This window comes from Homo sapiens, chromosome 21 (genome assembly GCF_000001405.40).
Source record: "Homo sapiens chromosome 21, GRCh38.p14 Primary Assembly".
Classification (NCBI taxonomy): Eukaryota; Metazoa; Chordata; class Mammalia; order Primates; family Hominidae; genus Homo; species Homo sapiens.
In genome coordinates this window covers 25,561,777-25,577,888 of record NC_000021.9, presented here as the reverse complement: position 1 = coordinate 25,577,888, position 16,112 = coordinate 25,561,777, and the positions used below count along the sequence as shown (strand labels likewise).

The 16,112-nt window shown below is 38.2% G+C and overlaps 1 long non-coding RNA gene and 1 other non-coding gene across 2 annotated transcripts, besides 8 other annotated features; both read right to left on the bottom strand.

Moving 5' to 3' along the window:
• Positions 1,643 to 1,692: an enhancer, noted in NCBI's record as "active region_18311". NCBI's record gives its function as "activates an Ori minimal core promoter by ATAC-STARR-seq in GM12878 lymphoblastoid cells {active_cell/tissue: GM12878}" and the evidence as "EXISTENCE:reporter gene assay evidence [ECO:0000049][PMID:35858748]".
• Positions 2,085 to 2,234: an enhancer, noted in NCBI's record as "active region_18310". NCBI's record gives its function as "activates an Ori minimal core promoter by ATAC-STARR-seq in GM12878 lymphoblastoid cells {active_cell/tissue: GM12878}" and the evidence as "EXISTENCE:reporter gene assay evidence [ECO:0000049][PMID:35858748]".
• MIR155HG (MIR155 host gene) lies at positions 2,721 to 15,744 on the bottom strand. Its single transcript, NR_001458.3, has 3 exons — positions 15,632 to 15,744; positions 7,968 to 8,052; positions 2,721 to 3,996 (listed from the first exon to the last, which is right to left on the bottom strand). It is a non-coding gene; the product is annotated as an MIR155 host gene (long non-coding RNA).
• Positions 3,786 to 3,965: a silencer, noted in NCBI's record as "silent region_13229". NCBI's record gives its function as "represses an Ori minimal core promoter by ATAC-STARR-seq in GM12878 lymphoblastoid cells {active_cell/tissue: GM12878}" and the evidence as "EXISTENCE:reporter gene assay evidence [ECO:0000049][PMID:35858748]".
• Positions 3,845 to 3,909, bottom strand: MIR155 (microRNA 155). The gene has a single exon (NR_030784.1). It is a non-coding gene; the product is annotated as a microRNA 155 (primary transcript).
• Positions 8,625 to 8,674: a silencer, noted in NCBI's record as "silent region_13228". NCBI's record gives its function as "represses an Ori minimal core promoter by ATAC-STARR-seq in GM12878 lymphoblastoid cells {active_cell/tissue: GM12878}" and the evidence as "EXISTENCE:reporter gene assay evidence [ECO:0000049][PMID:35858748]".
• Positions 12,420 to 12,479: a silencer, noted in NCBI's record as "silent region_13227". NCBI's record gives its function as "represses an Ori minimal core promoter by ATAC-STARR-seq in GM12878 lymphoblastoid cells {active_cell/tissue: GM12878}" and the evidence as "EXISTENCE:reporter gene assay evidence [ECO:0000049][PMID:35858748]".
• Positions 12,938 to 13,017: an enhancer, noted in NCBI's record as "active region_18309". NCBI's record gives its function as "activates an Ori minimal core promoter by ATAC-STARR-seq in GM12878 lymphoblastoid cells {active_cell/tissue: GM12878}" and the evidence as "EXISTENCE:reporter gene assay evidence [ECO:0000049][PMID:35858748]".
• Positions 15,400 to 15,679: a silencer, noted in NCBI's record as "silent region_13226". NCBI's record gives its function as "represses an Ori minimal core promoter by ATAC-STARR-seq in GM12878 lymphoblastoid cells {active_cell/tissue: GM12878}" and the evidence as "EXISTENCE:reporter gene assay evidence [ECO:0000049][PMID:35858748]".
• Positions 15,690 to 15,779: a silencer, noted in NCBI's record as "silent region_13225". NCBI's record gives its function as "represses an Ori minimal core promoter by ATAC-STARR-seq in GM12878 lymphoblastoid cells {active_cell/tissue: GM12878}" and the evidence as "EXISTENCE:reporter gene assay evidence [ECO:0000049][PMID:35858748]".

The following is a 16,112-nucleotide window of genomic DNA, read 5'->3' as shown; positions in this document are numbered from 1 at the left end:
AACATGCATCTTGACAAGCTTCCCAGGTGAGAATCCTTTGATCTTCAGTTATATGTAGAACTTTTCACTGTGATGAACTTTTATTTACCAAAAATCATTTCTTTCAGCTTAGTGGTATAGTGAAAATGAAATGTTCACTGTATTTAAACTCATTTCTGTTTTTAGACTTGGACTTAGAAAACTAATGGTGTGATTAAGTCAGTAAACATTTGAAAGGGATATGAATATGCAAGATCGTGTTTCATCCCTCAAGGATATCACTTCTTCTATTGCAGTCATTTATACCCCAAAGTAAGTAAGGACATACTATGTTAAGTGCTAGTGAACTGGGAAATCCCTGAGCATTACAGAGAAGGGCGGAAGAGTGACTGAATGTAGAGAAGACACCACTGTGATGACATTTGAGGAACCCACCTAAAAAATTCCAGTACTTGTATGTCTTAGATGAATGAAGACTAATACTATTACACTTAGATTTGTTAAAACACTACAGTAACAGGCCGGGTGCGGTGGCTCACACCTGTAATCCCAGCACTTTGGGAGGCTGAGATGGATGGATCACCTGAGGTCAGGAGTTCGAGACCAGCCTGGCCAACATGGTGAAACCCCGTCTCTGCTTAAAATACAAAAAATTAGCTGGGCGTGGTGGTACGCACCTGTAATCCCAGCCACTTGGGAGGCTGAGGCAGGAGAATCACTTGAACCCGGGAGGCGGAGGTTGCAGTGAGCCAAGATCATGACATTGCACTCCAGACTGGGGGACAAGAGCGAGACTTTGTCTCAAAAAAAAAAAAACCACCAAAAACCAAAACCAAAACAAAACAAAACAAAACACTACAGTAATAGAAAAAAAAAAAATCCTTATGTGAACATTATTTCACTTACTCTTATTGCTATGGGAGAATTTGAAACCCAAAGTGGAAAGTTAAACTCTTATGTGCAAGTTTTTCCTGCTGGTTTCACTGTTTTCCAGTTATTATTAGTAGAGAACCACATGCTCAGTCAGCTTTTTGTGCTTGTGTCCCATGTATGGACTCTATTATTTTTCTTTAAGCTCCCTTTTCACGTTTCCTCACTTTCTTGAGGTATTTGCTATCATCTATTTTCAGAAAATTTCTAATATTCTATGTTCTGTATATATTCTTCAGTCCTCTGACTTGACTTTTTCCCTCATATTCCTCTATTTTTTTTCTCCTTAATTTTTTAGCTACTGGGTCCATCTAACTGATGACAGTGAATACGAAAGGCTTGGTCTTGAATTCCGTAAATTTCTGGGGAAGTGGGTCAGATCCTAGATAAATCTCTTAACATTTTGCAATTTTTTAAAACCATCCTTAGTTTGTAACTTAAACACAAACGCGCGCGCACACACACACACACACACACACACACACACACACACATATACATATATATACCTTGTTACTTACCCCTTCCTCCAATCCAAACACAGACTCAGTCTTGCTCATGCTCCAAGAATTTTTGTAATGACTGGTCAGGAGGAATCCCTCTAAGATGAGGAGATAGGCAGTCAGAAGCCTAGGTGGGCTGGGCGTGAGAGAAAACCCAGGAACCCTGGTTCTTTGGGTCGTCACCACGGGATTGATTATAGTTAGTTTGGAGCTAGAGTGTCTTTGGGGAGATCTGCTATGGTAGATCATTTGATTTAAATGACTGAAATGTAAAAGTTTGAAAGTTTGTGTTTAACACTTAATGCATAATAGACATTGTGCTTTTCACATGCATGATTTCATTTAAGCCTACATCTTATGAAATATGAAATATATTCATCATTTTATTGATGAAGAAATTGAGGCTTAGAGGAAGATTAAGTAACTTTCCAAAGCTTCATGTGAGTGTACCCAAATGCTCTTCAAATAAGGCATTTCCCAGCACAGCTTTTCTTTAAGTGCCTTTGTAATGTTTATAGCTTTTTATTGTAACAGCAGGAAGGTTATACTACAATAGTTTATTCCAGTCCTAATGTTCTATGACTTTGTGTCTTTAGGCAGCAAGCAGGATTTTGAAGAACTGGGACTCAAAGCAAGGAGTCCTCTTGTAGATATACAGTGGCAGATAAAATGAATTGAACAGACACTTTTTTTTTTTTTTGAGATGGAGTCTCACTCTGTCACCCAGGCTGGAGGGCAGTGGCACGATCTTCGTTCACTGTGAACTCCACCTCCTGGGTTCAAGTGATTCTTCTGCCCCAGCCTCCTGAGTATCTGGGATTACAGGCACGCACCACCATGCCTAGCTAATTTTTGTATTTTTAGTAGAGACGAGGTTTCACTATGTTGGCCAGGGTAGTGTAGAACTCCTGACCTCAAGTGAACCACCCGCCTTGGCCTCCCAAAGTGTTGGAATTATAGGCGTGAGCCACTGTGCCTGGCCTGAAGAAACACTCTTGAATGTGTTCTACCTACATGGGAGCTCCGTGGAGCCACAAGCTCATTCCAGGTGTTAGGAGAAGAAATTTGTGTTGGCAGCACATACAACTTGAACAGAAAGTGAGGAGAAGAAATTTGTCTTGGCAGCACATACAACTTGAACAGAAAGTGGGGCAAAGCCAAATGGGTATTCTTACATGAGAATACTGTGTCCTAGGAGTCAGGAATGTTCCCTTTAGTGTCCTCATAATTTTCTTCCATTGTCTTTTTTTGGCAGATAGCTTCTGGAATTATAATTTGTACTTTGCAAAAGAAAATGGGCCATAAAAATTATTTTAAATCAACTAAAGACTCATGAGATTTATTTGGTTACAGTGAATAACCTGGACAAAATGTTGAGAAGAGTTGTTAAAACAAGTTTACATTAAATATACTAACAATTACGTTTGGTTACATATTTGTAAGTGATGGTTATTTAGAAAAACTGCATAGAAATCCAAACCTTAAATATTCTGCAAATCAAATCATTAGCTTTTCTCTTCTCTAATAAAGTAGGGTGACTAGTTCTTGGATTAATCTAACTATAACATTAATGTAGCACTTGATTATCTTATGGAATAATTCTCTATCTCATCTAAGCCTCACAACAACCTTGTAAAGTATTATCCCCATATGGAGGAAGAAACAGGCTTAGAAGTGGAAAGGTAGATTCTCTGCTCGCACAACCGTATTATGTGGCTAAGCTATTGAACTTGAACCTAGATTTGGGACTTCATTTCAAATATGAAATTTTTTGATTAAATCTTTTTATCTTGTATGGAAAAAATATCTCATTAGCTGTCAGATGTTATTTACCCTGCTAACTGTTAAAAATATTTCATTAAAAAAATTCAGCTTCATAGCCTTTCAGTTTCCCTTTAAGAGTCAAATAAAAGTATTAATTTTAAACTGAAGTTGCCTGAACAGAAAATCGTTACCTGGGGGAAAGTACCAGTTTCTAAATCTTTTAAAAAACGTTGCCAGACAATCCATGATATAACTGGAGGTTAGTAGTCCTTCTAATTTTTAACTACAAAAATATTATAGAAATTTGTGTTTAGCCCACATTTCTAACAGTTGAATCAAAGGTGTTTATGAACATTATAATGAACAAGCCAAAACCTGCAATTAAGAATGACATGAATATATTTTCTGTTAATGATAAAAACAAACATGGGCTTGACATTTAAATGAAAATGTTTGCATTTAGGATACTACTGATAAATCTTTTAAATAACCTTACTTTCAAAACTTAGTTTAAGGTTGAACATCCCAGTGACCAGATTATGATTAACAGATTGAAAAATGATAAAGCCTGAAGTCTAAGTTTATCCAGCAGGGTGACTCATGCTTCTTTGTCATCCTCCCACGGCAGCAATTTGTTCCATGTGAATGCTAGTAACAGGCATCATACACTGTTAATGCTAATATGTAGGAGTCAGTTGGAGGCAAAAACCCCTATCACGATTAGCATTAACAGCATACAGCCTACAGCAAGCCTTCAGCACTCAGAGGATGAGGCATAAAGAATTTAAACCACAGATTTCCCCTTCCTGGTTTGTGCCACCTGCAAGAGAGAAAGAAATGTTTGTGTATGCACATGCGGTTATAAAGCTGGAGTGACAGCATATAGTAAATCTGAAAGGAAAATAGTCCATTTTCTGTTGAAAGGAAGGAGCTCATTAAATCCTTGGAAGTAATTTTTTGAAAGTGGTAGAGAAATTGGCAATTAAAAGATGACATTGTTACCTTTAGGCATATTTGAAGACTTTGAAAATTATGTTTTAAATTCTATTCTCTAGTTTTGAATCGGGTACACATATGTATCATCTTCTTTAAATAAAAAACAAAAACCGCTCTTCGGAGTTTTCAAATGCCAAAATGCAAAGAGGAAAGCTTGCATTCTGACACAGTACAGTTTTTTTTTTTTCTGATTTGTACTTCATCTAGGAGCTAGACAATTAAAGGCCCAAATGTTCAAAATAGTCCTTTATGATTTATGAAAATTAAAACCCAATTAACCTGTTTTATAAGGGTAGGGTTCAGGCTGAATTTTTCTTTCTGTAATACATAGTTGAAGTTTTACCTTTATTCTTTCAGGAAATGTGATACAAGCAATGGAGGTTTGCCTACAAACGAATCTATCTGAAAATGTCCCCGTCTACTATTTAGAGATTCCTTTGGGGAAAGCACTACCCAGTGGCTTTGGTTTTGACTACATAAAGGAAGTATGACTTAAAGAGTCCTCTGTGTTTCAAACTACTTGTCTTAGGCAGAGGGTTGATTAAAAAAAAGAACAAGATGAATTTGCTACTTCCTTTTAGAGTCTGATTTTACTCTCTCAGATAAAGTGACATTTCTCCCACAGGTTTCTGATTTCAGTGTTACTATAACAGAACCTAGAAGTTAGAGTATCATTCAAGTATGTGGTCTCCTGCAGTACAAGAGGGGAATCACCTTTTCTTTTATTTAATAATGAAACCAGCTAGATATAAAAATGTGACTAAGTTCAAAAGAAACGTATGAAGTAAAAAATTCCCCAGTGAATATATTTTGACAGGGCAGAATATCGTGGTTTGGAAATTTCCAAACCAAGGAAATATATTATTCTTACTGATAGTATTTTTTTTTAAACTTTACTGTTTTCTGAGATGAATTAGTTGATGATGAAAAAATTTGGGTTAAATGATGTCACTTCAGGAATTCAATTCATTTTACAGAATTTCAGTCAATAAAGATTGTAAAAACAAGGACTTTTTTTCCCCCTTACAGGGTCCTGGACACAGTAAATGCTCAATAAATACATATTAATAATGTAGTGTTAGTGCCACCCCAGCCAATATAACTCGCCCTTTTCTTAAAAGATGTGTTTAATTTGTATTGAAGGTAAATTGCTGGCATACTATTCTACCCATAAATTTTATTCCTGTTCTTTAAAGATAACATATGAGCACAGGTATTAAAATAAATATATTTAGTATACTAATTAGCTTTTTCCCTCTTTTTAAATATACATACGAATTGCCTGATTAGAGCACTCAGAAAAGTGACAGTGTTTTTGATAATGTGTTATATATATTAAAAATTCTAATAGCTTTTTTTATTTGTTCAAACTCTAAATGTATATTGAAATAAAACATGTCACACAGGTCCCCTTTTGTTCTCAAACACAACCTTGTCATACAGGCATGATGAATTCCGAACACTGCAGAGAAATGAGAAGTTTGTCTAAATATACTATAGAACCTTAGGTCATATTTAAAACACAATGATAGATGAAAAACATTAATGAACAGAAGAAAGGAGAAATATCCCAGAAAAAAAAAAAAATATATATATATATATATATATTCTACAATTTAAAAATAGTAGACTTTTAAGGACATTAGAATGACTAGAAGGTCATTCATTCATCAGTGTGGAGTCTATGTCCACTTCCAGTGTTTTTGACTGGGCTAAGCAACCAACAACAGAATTGCTATATGCCTGAGTGGGAATTAGTGGTCATAGACAACAAAGGCCAGTCTATTAGCCAAGGCACTGGGCAGAGGGTGCTTTCATGAGGTAATAAGAAATAAAGTAGTTCTTTCTGGAATCGGTGTGGCCACCAGCTGGTAAAGTGGCAGGGGAAGAATTATACACAATTATAGGCCTGACAATCAGTAGTGACAGTGCTAACCAAGTAAGAATGTGACAAGCATAATGTTTAATGTATAGCAATGCAAGAGTAATTTATATGAATTATATATTAGAAATTAGACTGGGGTCTTTGACTAGGTAGTTCTGCAGATATACTTCCAGTCCCCTCACTCCACAATACTTCTTAGGCCTACCACATGAAATATCCATTGTCAGTATAAGTTTTACTGTGTAGCATAGGTTCCAAGTTAAATGTTCTTAACAAATTACTACACACTGTCTGAGTATCAAAATCATTCCTTCTCACAGTAGGTAAAAATCTACCAAGAGGAAGCACTATGTATACTAGATTAATGATAACACCAAGGATCTTTCATTATATGACAGGCAATTCTTCCTCTGGTGCTAAGAATGAAGCTGAAGGTGGCACTTTGGGAAATTTTTCCTTAAATTATGCTTTCCTGAAGGACAATTTTTTTGGGGGGGGTGGAGTGTGAGCATAAGATTTAAGAATATCTGGCTGGGTGTGGTGTCTCATGCCTGTAATCCTAGCATTTTGGGAGGCCGAGGTGGGCGGATCATGAGGTCAGGAGTTTGAGACCAGCGTGACCAACATGGTAAAACCCCGTCTCTACTAAAAATACAAAAAAATTAGCTAGGCGTGGTGGCGCACGCCTATAATCCCAGCTACTCAGGAGGCTGAGGCAGGAGGATCACTTGAACCTGGGAGGCAGAAGGTAGTAGTGAGCCGAGATTGTGCCACTGCACTCCAGCCTGGGCAACAGAGCAAGACTCTGTCTCCAAAGAAAAAAAAAGATTTCAGAATATCCTTTTATTCTTACCTTGTTGATTTGCCAGGAAAGACGTTATCAAAACTATATATTCAGAGCATAATATGTCCTAAGTTTGTCATTAAAGTTCTGGTTTTCCTTCAAAAATTTTTTATTGTGGTGAAATATGTAATGTAAACATAATGTAAGTTTAACATCTTCACCATTTTTAAGTGTACAGGTCCGCTATATTAAACACTTAGTCATAATGTTCTACAACTATCATTATCATCCATCTCCATAACTCTTTATCTTGTAAGGATCTCATTTTATGTCTAAATCATAGGTTATATTCTTCTACAATTATATATATTTCTATATTGCTGCTTATTCTCAGCACCAACCATTTAATATTTGCATACCAAAGGAACTGCACACCATAAAGTTTTCTTTAAAAAAAGTTACAGTGGTCGAATTTCATAACCAAAGCGATTGTGGGATAGCTCTAATTTTATTTACCTTGAAATATACAAATAATTTAAAACTATTAATTTGTTGTTACAAATCAACTGTACATCTATTTTTACTGAAAGTCATCTTATATTGATGTAGCAATACAAATTCTAGGTCCAAAGCCATTTTAGTAGGTGAAATGGAATGTAATTATGTTGTTGAAAATTAAAGTGATTTAGTTTAGGTAACTTTCTCTGCATATTTTCCCACTTTAACATTTATGTGTACCAATCAAAAACATAATCATTAAGATGGAATAATGTTGATTCCTATTTGGATCAGTTTGCTAAAAGCAATTAGCATATACTTGTATATGTGGAAACAGTATCTGCCTTTTCTATCAGAATTTATTCTGATTCTCTATATTCTGCCGCTGCAGTTTTGGTTTACATCATGGAAGTAAGCAGTGATTAATGCAAGTGTATAAAAATCAGGATTCTGTGAAACTTTGGACTTGTCATAATCTTTAGAATAACAACGATTTCTTGGTTACCTTTTGAGGTAGAATCAAAAGTTGAAAGCGGCTGCCAACTTGGTGCCCCAATGACCTGCCTTTATAAAAACTGCATCTGTCAGCGTGTTTCCCTTCCCTTTTACTTAAGATAGAATTCCTTACCATTAGAGCCATCTCCATTGGGTGGGAGAGCCAAGGTGACAGGTAAGGTCTCTGGTAGGTTGTTCTTGAAATGCAGACAAGTTATCTGGGGAAAAAGGGTTGGGGTTGAAGTTGACACATCACCTTAGATGTGTTTATTAGGTTAGTTAGTCATCTTTGAAAGCAGAGGTGAAGGGCTGAGGAGAGAGGACCCGGGATAGGTGGATTTTAATGGGAATAAAGAGTAATTTAGAGGAAAGATAAGGATGTACCCCAAATAGTTTGATAGCTCAATAGTTTTTTATTTATAATTTAAGCTCACACTTTTCATGTCCAGCATAAAGCAGCAACAAATTAAGTATTTAGACTATCATCTGAGTTTTAGTTCTCTGAGTTTCAACCTCTCTACATGCTGTAAAATGTCATATAAAGTGTTTAATTTCTCAGAAATTCTTCAGGAAGACTTGCAATGTTCTCTGACAAAAAGAAAATCCAAATGACTGCCTTTCTAAAGTGTATTCATTTGTGTAAAGTTTATCACATATTTTCTGTAGAATATGATTCTGTGTTACATCTCAATAACTGACATTAAAGATGAGTCAACTTCTCTGCTACCAGGGAATGAGGTAAAGAGTATTATGTTTCCTCTTGACTTCACATGAGTTCCATCATTAACAAGGGATTGATGGTGTGACTTACTACTGATTGAGATGGTGGCCAACTGGCGTCACATCTTCTGAAGTACACAAACTCATCTTTAAAGGTAAAAATGGATTGTTCTGTAGGAATAACTTATATCCTGAAATCTTGGTGAATGATAAGATTACCACTTTTCAGATCATTAACTTTACATATAAGAAAAATTCCCTGAGTAAGCCATTGCTGGGGGAAAAATTATAAACTTTTCATGTCATGATACTTTATTTATTTCCATAAAAACTTAACATCACTTCTTGATATTTTCTAATTGAGAGCTCTTTATTGAAAAATAGCAACTTTCTAAATTAAGAGCTCCTTATTGAAAATAGCAGTTTGTGCACACAATAGCATAACATTCTTTTCTGTATTTTGAGAATTAAGAAAATAAATGTTTTTAAAGATATATGCCAATAGTGATATTTAACACATAAAGGTGTGATGTATTTTTGAAGTGTCTTAGAAGAAAGCCAATGTGGATATTGCAGGGTCACTGTGGAAATGTGTATCAGTGACCGTTTAGTTGTAAATGCACAAAAGAGAAAGAATGTCAGCCTTAGAGGATTATCCTGCTTTTCCCAATTTTAGAACCAGGAAGTTTTTACTGAAATGGCTTTGTGGAACTTACTTACAAGCTAAGTAACCTTCCCAGTAGTTTTATTATGGACAGTAATTAGTGCTTTCGCTTTTCTGATGAAGATGTGTAAAAAAAAACAGGTTAGGAATTTCCTCTCCCCCACCAGACTCATTCTGTGGAATAAGCAGAAGCAGGACGACAGCCAGCTGGAGTCTGACTGCAGGGACTCGCTTCCTCAACACCCTGACCTCACACTGGCTCAGCGGAAGGTCTGAACTGTGCTGAAATGTTATAGAACAAATGTGAATAAAGCTGTGGGTAGGGAGGGGAGAGCTAGTGGGAGAGATACATTCTGTTGCTTTAAGTGATGGCCATTCTTTCTTATTTCTTGTTTCCACAAAACGTTTTCCATTTGCCTAACAAACTTCTTAATATATTTCCATAAGAGAATTTTAATACTTTTTTAAATTTATAATTTGATTTTGATGTCTTTTCTCCCTACTCCCAGGGAACAGAAAATAGGGTAGCTGTTATTGCTCTGGAGTGTTTTGTCACCCTTCCATGACGCCTCCTCTGTGCATTTGAGTTCACTGTTTATGCTCAACACTGAATTTCAACAAAATGCCTCATTTGGAACTTATTATGTGTTACCTGTTTGTTTTTTGTATCCGTTTGCCTCTATCATAGGAAAAAATTGCTTTTCTATTTCTGTAAGCTACAGTTTATCTTTTTCTACTTCCACACACCATAATGGCCCCAAGCAAGGAAGAATTTGTGTACTAAGAACTATTTAAGGCAAATGATGTAAACAAAAGGTTTGGTTTTGCCTTTTTAAAAATTCATTGTCTTACACGGATGGGATACCCTGTGTTATAAGGCAAAGACCATTTACCTGTTACATTCCCGTGGCATTTGACCCAATGCTTTAACAAACCAAATGAGGGTCATGTTCACTGCTCCACAAGATGTCACCATACACACTCTTAGGCACTAGATACACCTACTTCAAGTTGTTCAAGTATGGACCCGTCCTCTTTGCCTTCCTTCTCTTGCCCTCTCAGATAGCGCACTCCTGGAGGCTGGCTTCTCATCTCCTGGTGGGACCCTGCTTCTCTGTCTTCCCCAAGGTGACTAGTCCTCACTCCATCCTCTGTCAGAGCACTTATCACACTGGATGGTAATTATTTCATGTGTCTCTTCTTAGTGCTGAGGTGTATGTGATGGCAGAGACTGAGTCTTCCCTCAGTGCTGGATATACAGCTGACAGATACTCACTAAATACCTTTGAATAAATGTTTGAGAGTCACCAAAAGCATTTCTATCTGCACAGTGGGCTTTTATTTGGCACTGGAGCATTTCAGGACTTAACTGATATGCAGGTTCTTGGAGAATTTAGTAGAAGCTTACAAATGTGGAGATATATTAATAAGATTTGTTGGCATTCCAGATTGGCAGTGGACCCTTTTTAGAAGATTCCAGGCTTGGAGCTCAGTCTGTCAAGTATAAGAAACAGAGTAAAGCTGGAGAATACTGGTAGAAATCATCGTCTGGACTTGTGGGTAAAAATTAAGTTTCATCCTTGATTTTTAAAATCACTCTTGGATGCCATAATCATGTCTTTTCATTGCATAGAACCATGTACTTGTTCTTAGGAGATCCGTGCTCAAGCATTTAGAAGTTAGATGCCAGGTTTGCATATAGATATAGACAGAGAGAGAGAGAGATGGGTAGGGATACAGAGAGATAAGCCAGTGTGGCAAATATTAACAATTAGCAAATCGAATTGAAAAGTAGGAGTGTTCATTGTTCTGTCGTTTTCAGCTTGCCTGGGTTCCATTCCAGACCCCACCAGTGTTACTAGCTGTGTGGTATTTGGCAAGTTAATAAACCTCTTTAGGGCTTAGTTGCTTCTCTGAAAATGGAGATAAAGAATAACCTATTCAAAAAGTCTTTGTGAAGATGAAGTGACAATGCAAAACATTTAGTTGGGTGCCAGCCTCATAATCAGGGCTCAGTGAATGTTAGCCATGATACTAATGACATCAGTCATCAATGCTTGGTGAGTACTTTGTAAGTACCCTACATCTATCACATGTTACACTTGCTATTTTAAAAGAACAAGCCCAGATACATTTACCACTGTATAATTGAACCATTATATAAATTAGAGGTTATCTACAAGCAGGTAAAAGCCAAGTTAAAATAATTATTTTGTTCATCCTAATCTTTAAGTCATAAAGTAACTGCTAAAAGGTACACCAAAATGTTTTCTTGGAAATAATTTTCAGAAGTATTTTAGTAGTTTTTCTTTTGGTTAAGGAGAAGGATATGCATTCTGAAACAAAAATTCTAAAAACCAAACAACTTTTTACCATGTCAGTGTGGTCTCTGAAAATTCATGACACAGTAAAATGTCTTTAAAACGTCTTTACTTTCTCAGACTGCATTTGTATCTCACCTTCCAAATTGATTTCTTATAATACACAAGATCATCTAGTGAAACAAAATAATAGCAAACACTTACACAGGCTCCCTCTGTGCCAAGCACCTAAGTGTTTGACGTATACTAACTCAGTTATTCCTCCTCACAACCTTAGGAATGAGTATTCACACCCTCCCCATTGAAACACAGGGGCCTTGAGGCACAGGCAGGTGAAATAACTTGCGCAAGGTTAATCAGTGGCTAAGGAGCATGCTGCTGGGATGCCTACCTGGGCAATCTGGCACCTGTTTCCCATGCTTGGAACCATTATTTGTGTGAGCATATAAAGGACCATAGCATTTTGTTAAGACAGCCAGGAACTTATAATTTGTGTAGAACACTCTTGTTTATGGAGAACTGGCATAAATGTCATTGTAGGGCACTGTTTCACCTTATCCAAACATCGGCCTCACAATTTCATTAAATCAGCTATTTGATATTCCTCACTAATCTTTCCTTCTGCCAGTGCCTTAACCCTGTCTACCCACACAAGGTAGCAATATCTGTGCTAATCTGTCCTAACAATTAGCACAGATATTAGTGATCTGTGCTAATTGGTTAATATGTCTGCTAATTGTTTCTCAGAATTAGCACAGATATTCACAATCTGTTTTAAACTACAGCCACTTAAGCTATGTTAAGCCTCACTTTCTGGTGAGTGTGTCACTGTGTGTAAGGGTGGTAATTTTAGGAATCACATCTTCTTCCACATTGCTGAGAGCCTTGGACTTGTGAGTGAGGATGCTGAACTGCTCAGACATATGATGTGCCTATTTGAGGATAGATGTGCTTTTGCACTGGTTTTGCTTGAGGCTCTGCATATTGTAAACCCAAATACATTGATTGATGGACAGAACAAGTGTTTCAGGGCAGATGAGAATTACACAGCAGTGATCATATTAAAAGCATTGCATTTCCTTAAGAGTCTGAGATAAGAAAATTTTTTTCATATATATGTGAAACTCGTATATGAAAGTTGTAGCTACTGAGAGGTGGGATAAAAAGAGGCTTTTAAAATTGTAATATTTTTCCTTGAAAAGTAGTGTTTCACAATTTTTTTATTCTATCTAATTTAAGGAAACATGTAACAGTTTTGAGTCCAGTAAGATCAGTGAAAGACAAAAATACATTCTATAGTGAATTATAGTGGTACTTACTTTGACTTACTTTGGACATAGAGGATATAAATTCACTAAGACCAGCTGTGTCTCAGGAGGTATATGAAAGTGAGCTTGGTAGTTACACTGGAATCACAGAATTTCATCAGTGTAAGGGATTTTAGAAATGGTTCAGTCCCTGCCACCCATCAACCACCCATCTTAGAGATGAGCAAAATGAGGCACAGAAATCTGCAGAGTTGGTCCTAGAAACAAACCATGGTTCTCAGGCCGGTGCTCCTTCCCCAGTATTAGACTTCTGCAGAGTGGCAGCCTGATATCAAAACAATAAGGCTGTTAAAATCAATAGCTTCAGCTAAGCAATAGCCAATGACTATCAAAAATGGAGACACCAGCTAGTTAAGGGCACTAGCTGGTGCCCAGTCCAAGTGATAGAGGTGCCCAGTCCAAGTGAAGGGCAAGAGTCTACATACCACTTTCCTCTATTCAAGCTATTTATGCCTACTAGGTTTAGAATACTGATTATGAAAGTGGACCCCCGAAGAGGGTCATGGCTGAGATTCAAGGAAGTCTCTAGCCTGCTAACATCGAATGCAAATTGGTGTGTGAGGATACACATTAACAAAAATTTTCTGGGAAGAGCATATAAAATTTCCATTAGATTCTCAAGGAGGTAGGAATAAAGGATTTTAGTAACTATTACTCTAAAATGAAAGAATTCCTTTAAATTGAATGGCAGATCTTAGTCATGACCTGAAAAGCTGATAAAAAAAAACTTTTCAAAAGTTAAAACCTAGGGCTTTTTGGGGTAGATTTTTTGATTTATAGAGGACTGGTAAGATGAGGTATTTAAAGATGAGGGTTACAAATTTTCCATGTTGGCATATGGAAAGTAAAGAATGGCAAAATTTGTAGCACATTCTAATTAGTTCAAATATCTATGTTACCAAAATTGAAATGATATCAAATTGCACAGCAATGTCCTGATGGCCTTTCCTCTAACTTTCTGGGTTTGTAAGGGTAGGGTTGTGCCTATCCTGCTCACCTTTGTCTCTCCAGTGTCTAGCATAGCGTCCAGCACAGGCAGACTATGATGCCTGTTTTTTTTTTGTTGTTGTTTTTTTTTTTTTTTTTTTGGTAAAGACCAGTGAATTACACTTTTTACACATGACTAGGTTAAAACAAAAGTAGACATTTGTGCAAACACCACTGTTCTCCCTTGAAGTGGTTGTAGGTCTCAGACAGTGCTAATTTTTCTCTTTCTTAATGTGTGTGGTTAGGAAGCTGGGTCCTGTGGCCAGAGTGAGCTGACCCACTATGTGAGGAAACTTACTTATCACAGCCTAATAAGGAGTAGTCCTTGCAGCAGAAGTAATTACTAAATGTGCTTTGGTCATTTGACAGAAATCAGGGAGGCAGCAAGGAGTCATGGAAATGAGCCCAAACTGAGAGTCAAAACCCTGTGGTCTGCCGACACCCCCATCCCACATCCGTACCTAAAAGCAGGCTGTGCACTAGGGACCTAGTGACCTTACTAGAAAAAACTCAAATTCTCTGAGCCACAAGTCCTCATGGGCAAAATGTAGATACCACCACCTAACCCTGCCAATTTCCTATCATTGTGACTATCAAATTAAACCACAGGCAGGAAGTTGCCTTGAAAACTTTTTATAGTGTATATTACTGTTCACATAGATAAGCAATTAACTTTACATATACCCGTTTTTAAAAGATCAGTCCTGTGATTAAAAGTCTGGCTGCCCTAATTCACTTCGATTATACATTAGGTTAAAGCCATATAAAAGAGGCACTACGTCTTCGGAGAGATGAATGGATATTACAAGCAGTAATTTTGGCTTTGGAATATACACATAATGTCCACTTGACCTCATCTATTTGACACAAAATGTAAACTAAATTATGAGCATCATTAGATACCTTGGCCTTTTCAAATCACACAGGGTCCTAGATCTGCTGTGTGATGCTGGAAAAGTAACTTCACTTCTGTGGGCCTCAGCTCCTTAATTTTTAACATACTTTGGATTCTTATATCTTTGTCAGCTGTCAACTTCAGTGTTTTCAGGTTAAATTCTATCCATAGTCATCCCAATATACCTGCTTTAGATGATACAAACTTCAAAAGATCCGGCTCTCCCTCGTAAAACGTGGAGGACAGACATCAAGGGGGTTTTGTGAGTAAAGAAAGGCAACCGCTCGGCAAAAACGCACCCTGGCACAACAGGAGCGAATAAATACAGACGCTGATTGAGCGTTTGCTCCATCTTCACTTCTGTTAAATGAAGACATTGATATCTAAAATGCTATGAGTCTAACTTTGTAAAATTAAAATAGATTTGTAGTTATTTTTCAAAATGAAATCGAAAAGATACAAGTTTTGAAGGCAGTCTCTTTTTCCACCCTGCCCCTCTAGTGTGTTTTACACACTTCTCTGGCCACTCCAACAGGGAAGCTGGTCCAGGGCCATTATACAGGTACGTCCCCAACCATCCAAGGAAACTTTGCAAAGAAGCTCAAGTATTAGGTTTCGAACACCCCTCCTTCCCCCTGCCTCTGCCCGCGGGAATCCATCCAGCGCAATCTCTGGTCCCGGGCGAGGCGACACCACTGAGTCCCCAGGGGGCACCCGCAGGCGCGCGCGGGACCAGGCCGGGCTCCACGGCCACGTGCGCGCTGCCCCCGCCTTGCCTCGCCAGTTAACCCGGCGGTGACCCTCGCACCGAAGTCCCCCGGCGTCCCTGCCACGTTCAAGAGAGGAAAGGCGGGCGGGAGCGCGAGACTGAAGTCGGCGTACCTGCAGTGCCAGGAGCGTCTCCTTGGTTCCCCGCGCTTGCTCTGCGGGCGGCTCGGGGCTCCGCTATCCGCTCCCTTCCCGAGGCTGCAGGCGGCGCTGGGCCCGGGCTCGGCCGCGCACAGGAAGCCCGCGCCTGCGAACGTGCGACCCTTTTATAACTCACTTGTGACTCATAACCGACCAGGCGCCTTTTCTGCAACCCCCCCCCCCTTCTCCCCCCTCCTGCCTGTTCTTGGAACCTACAGCTTGAAAAACTTTTTTCTTTTTAAAGGAAAAGTCGAAAAAGCCCAGCGCCCGGGTAGTTGGTGTTTTCCCCTTTCCCTTTCTCGTGGGTCATTGCGTGTGTGTATTTTTTTTCTCTCAACACACGCCGTGTACTTTCCTGCACCGCGCCGCAAGGCTTGGGCTCCAACCTTTGTTCTTAAAGAAAAGGAAACGCCTTCAAATGACGGCCCAGACGTCGCCCGAACTTTCAGTCGGC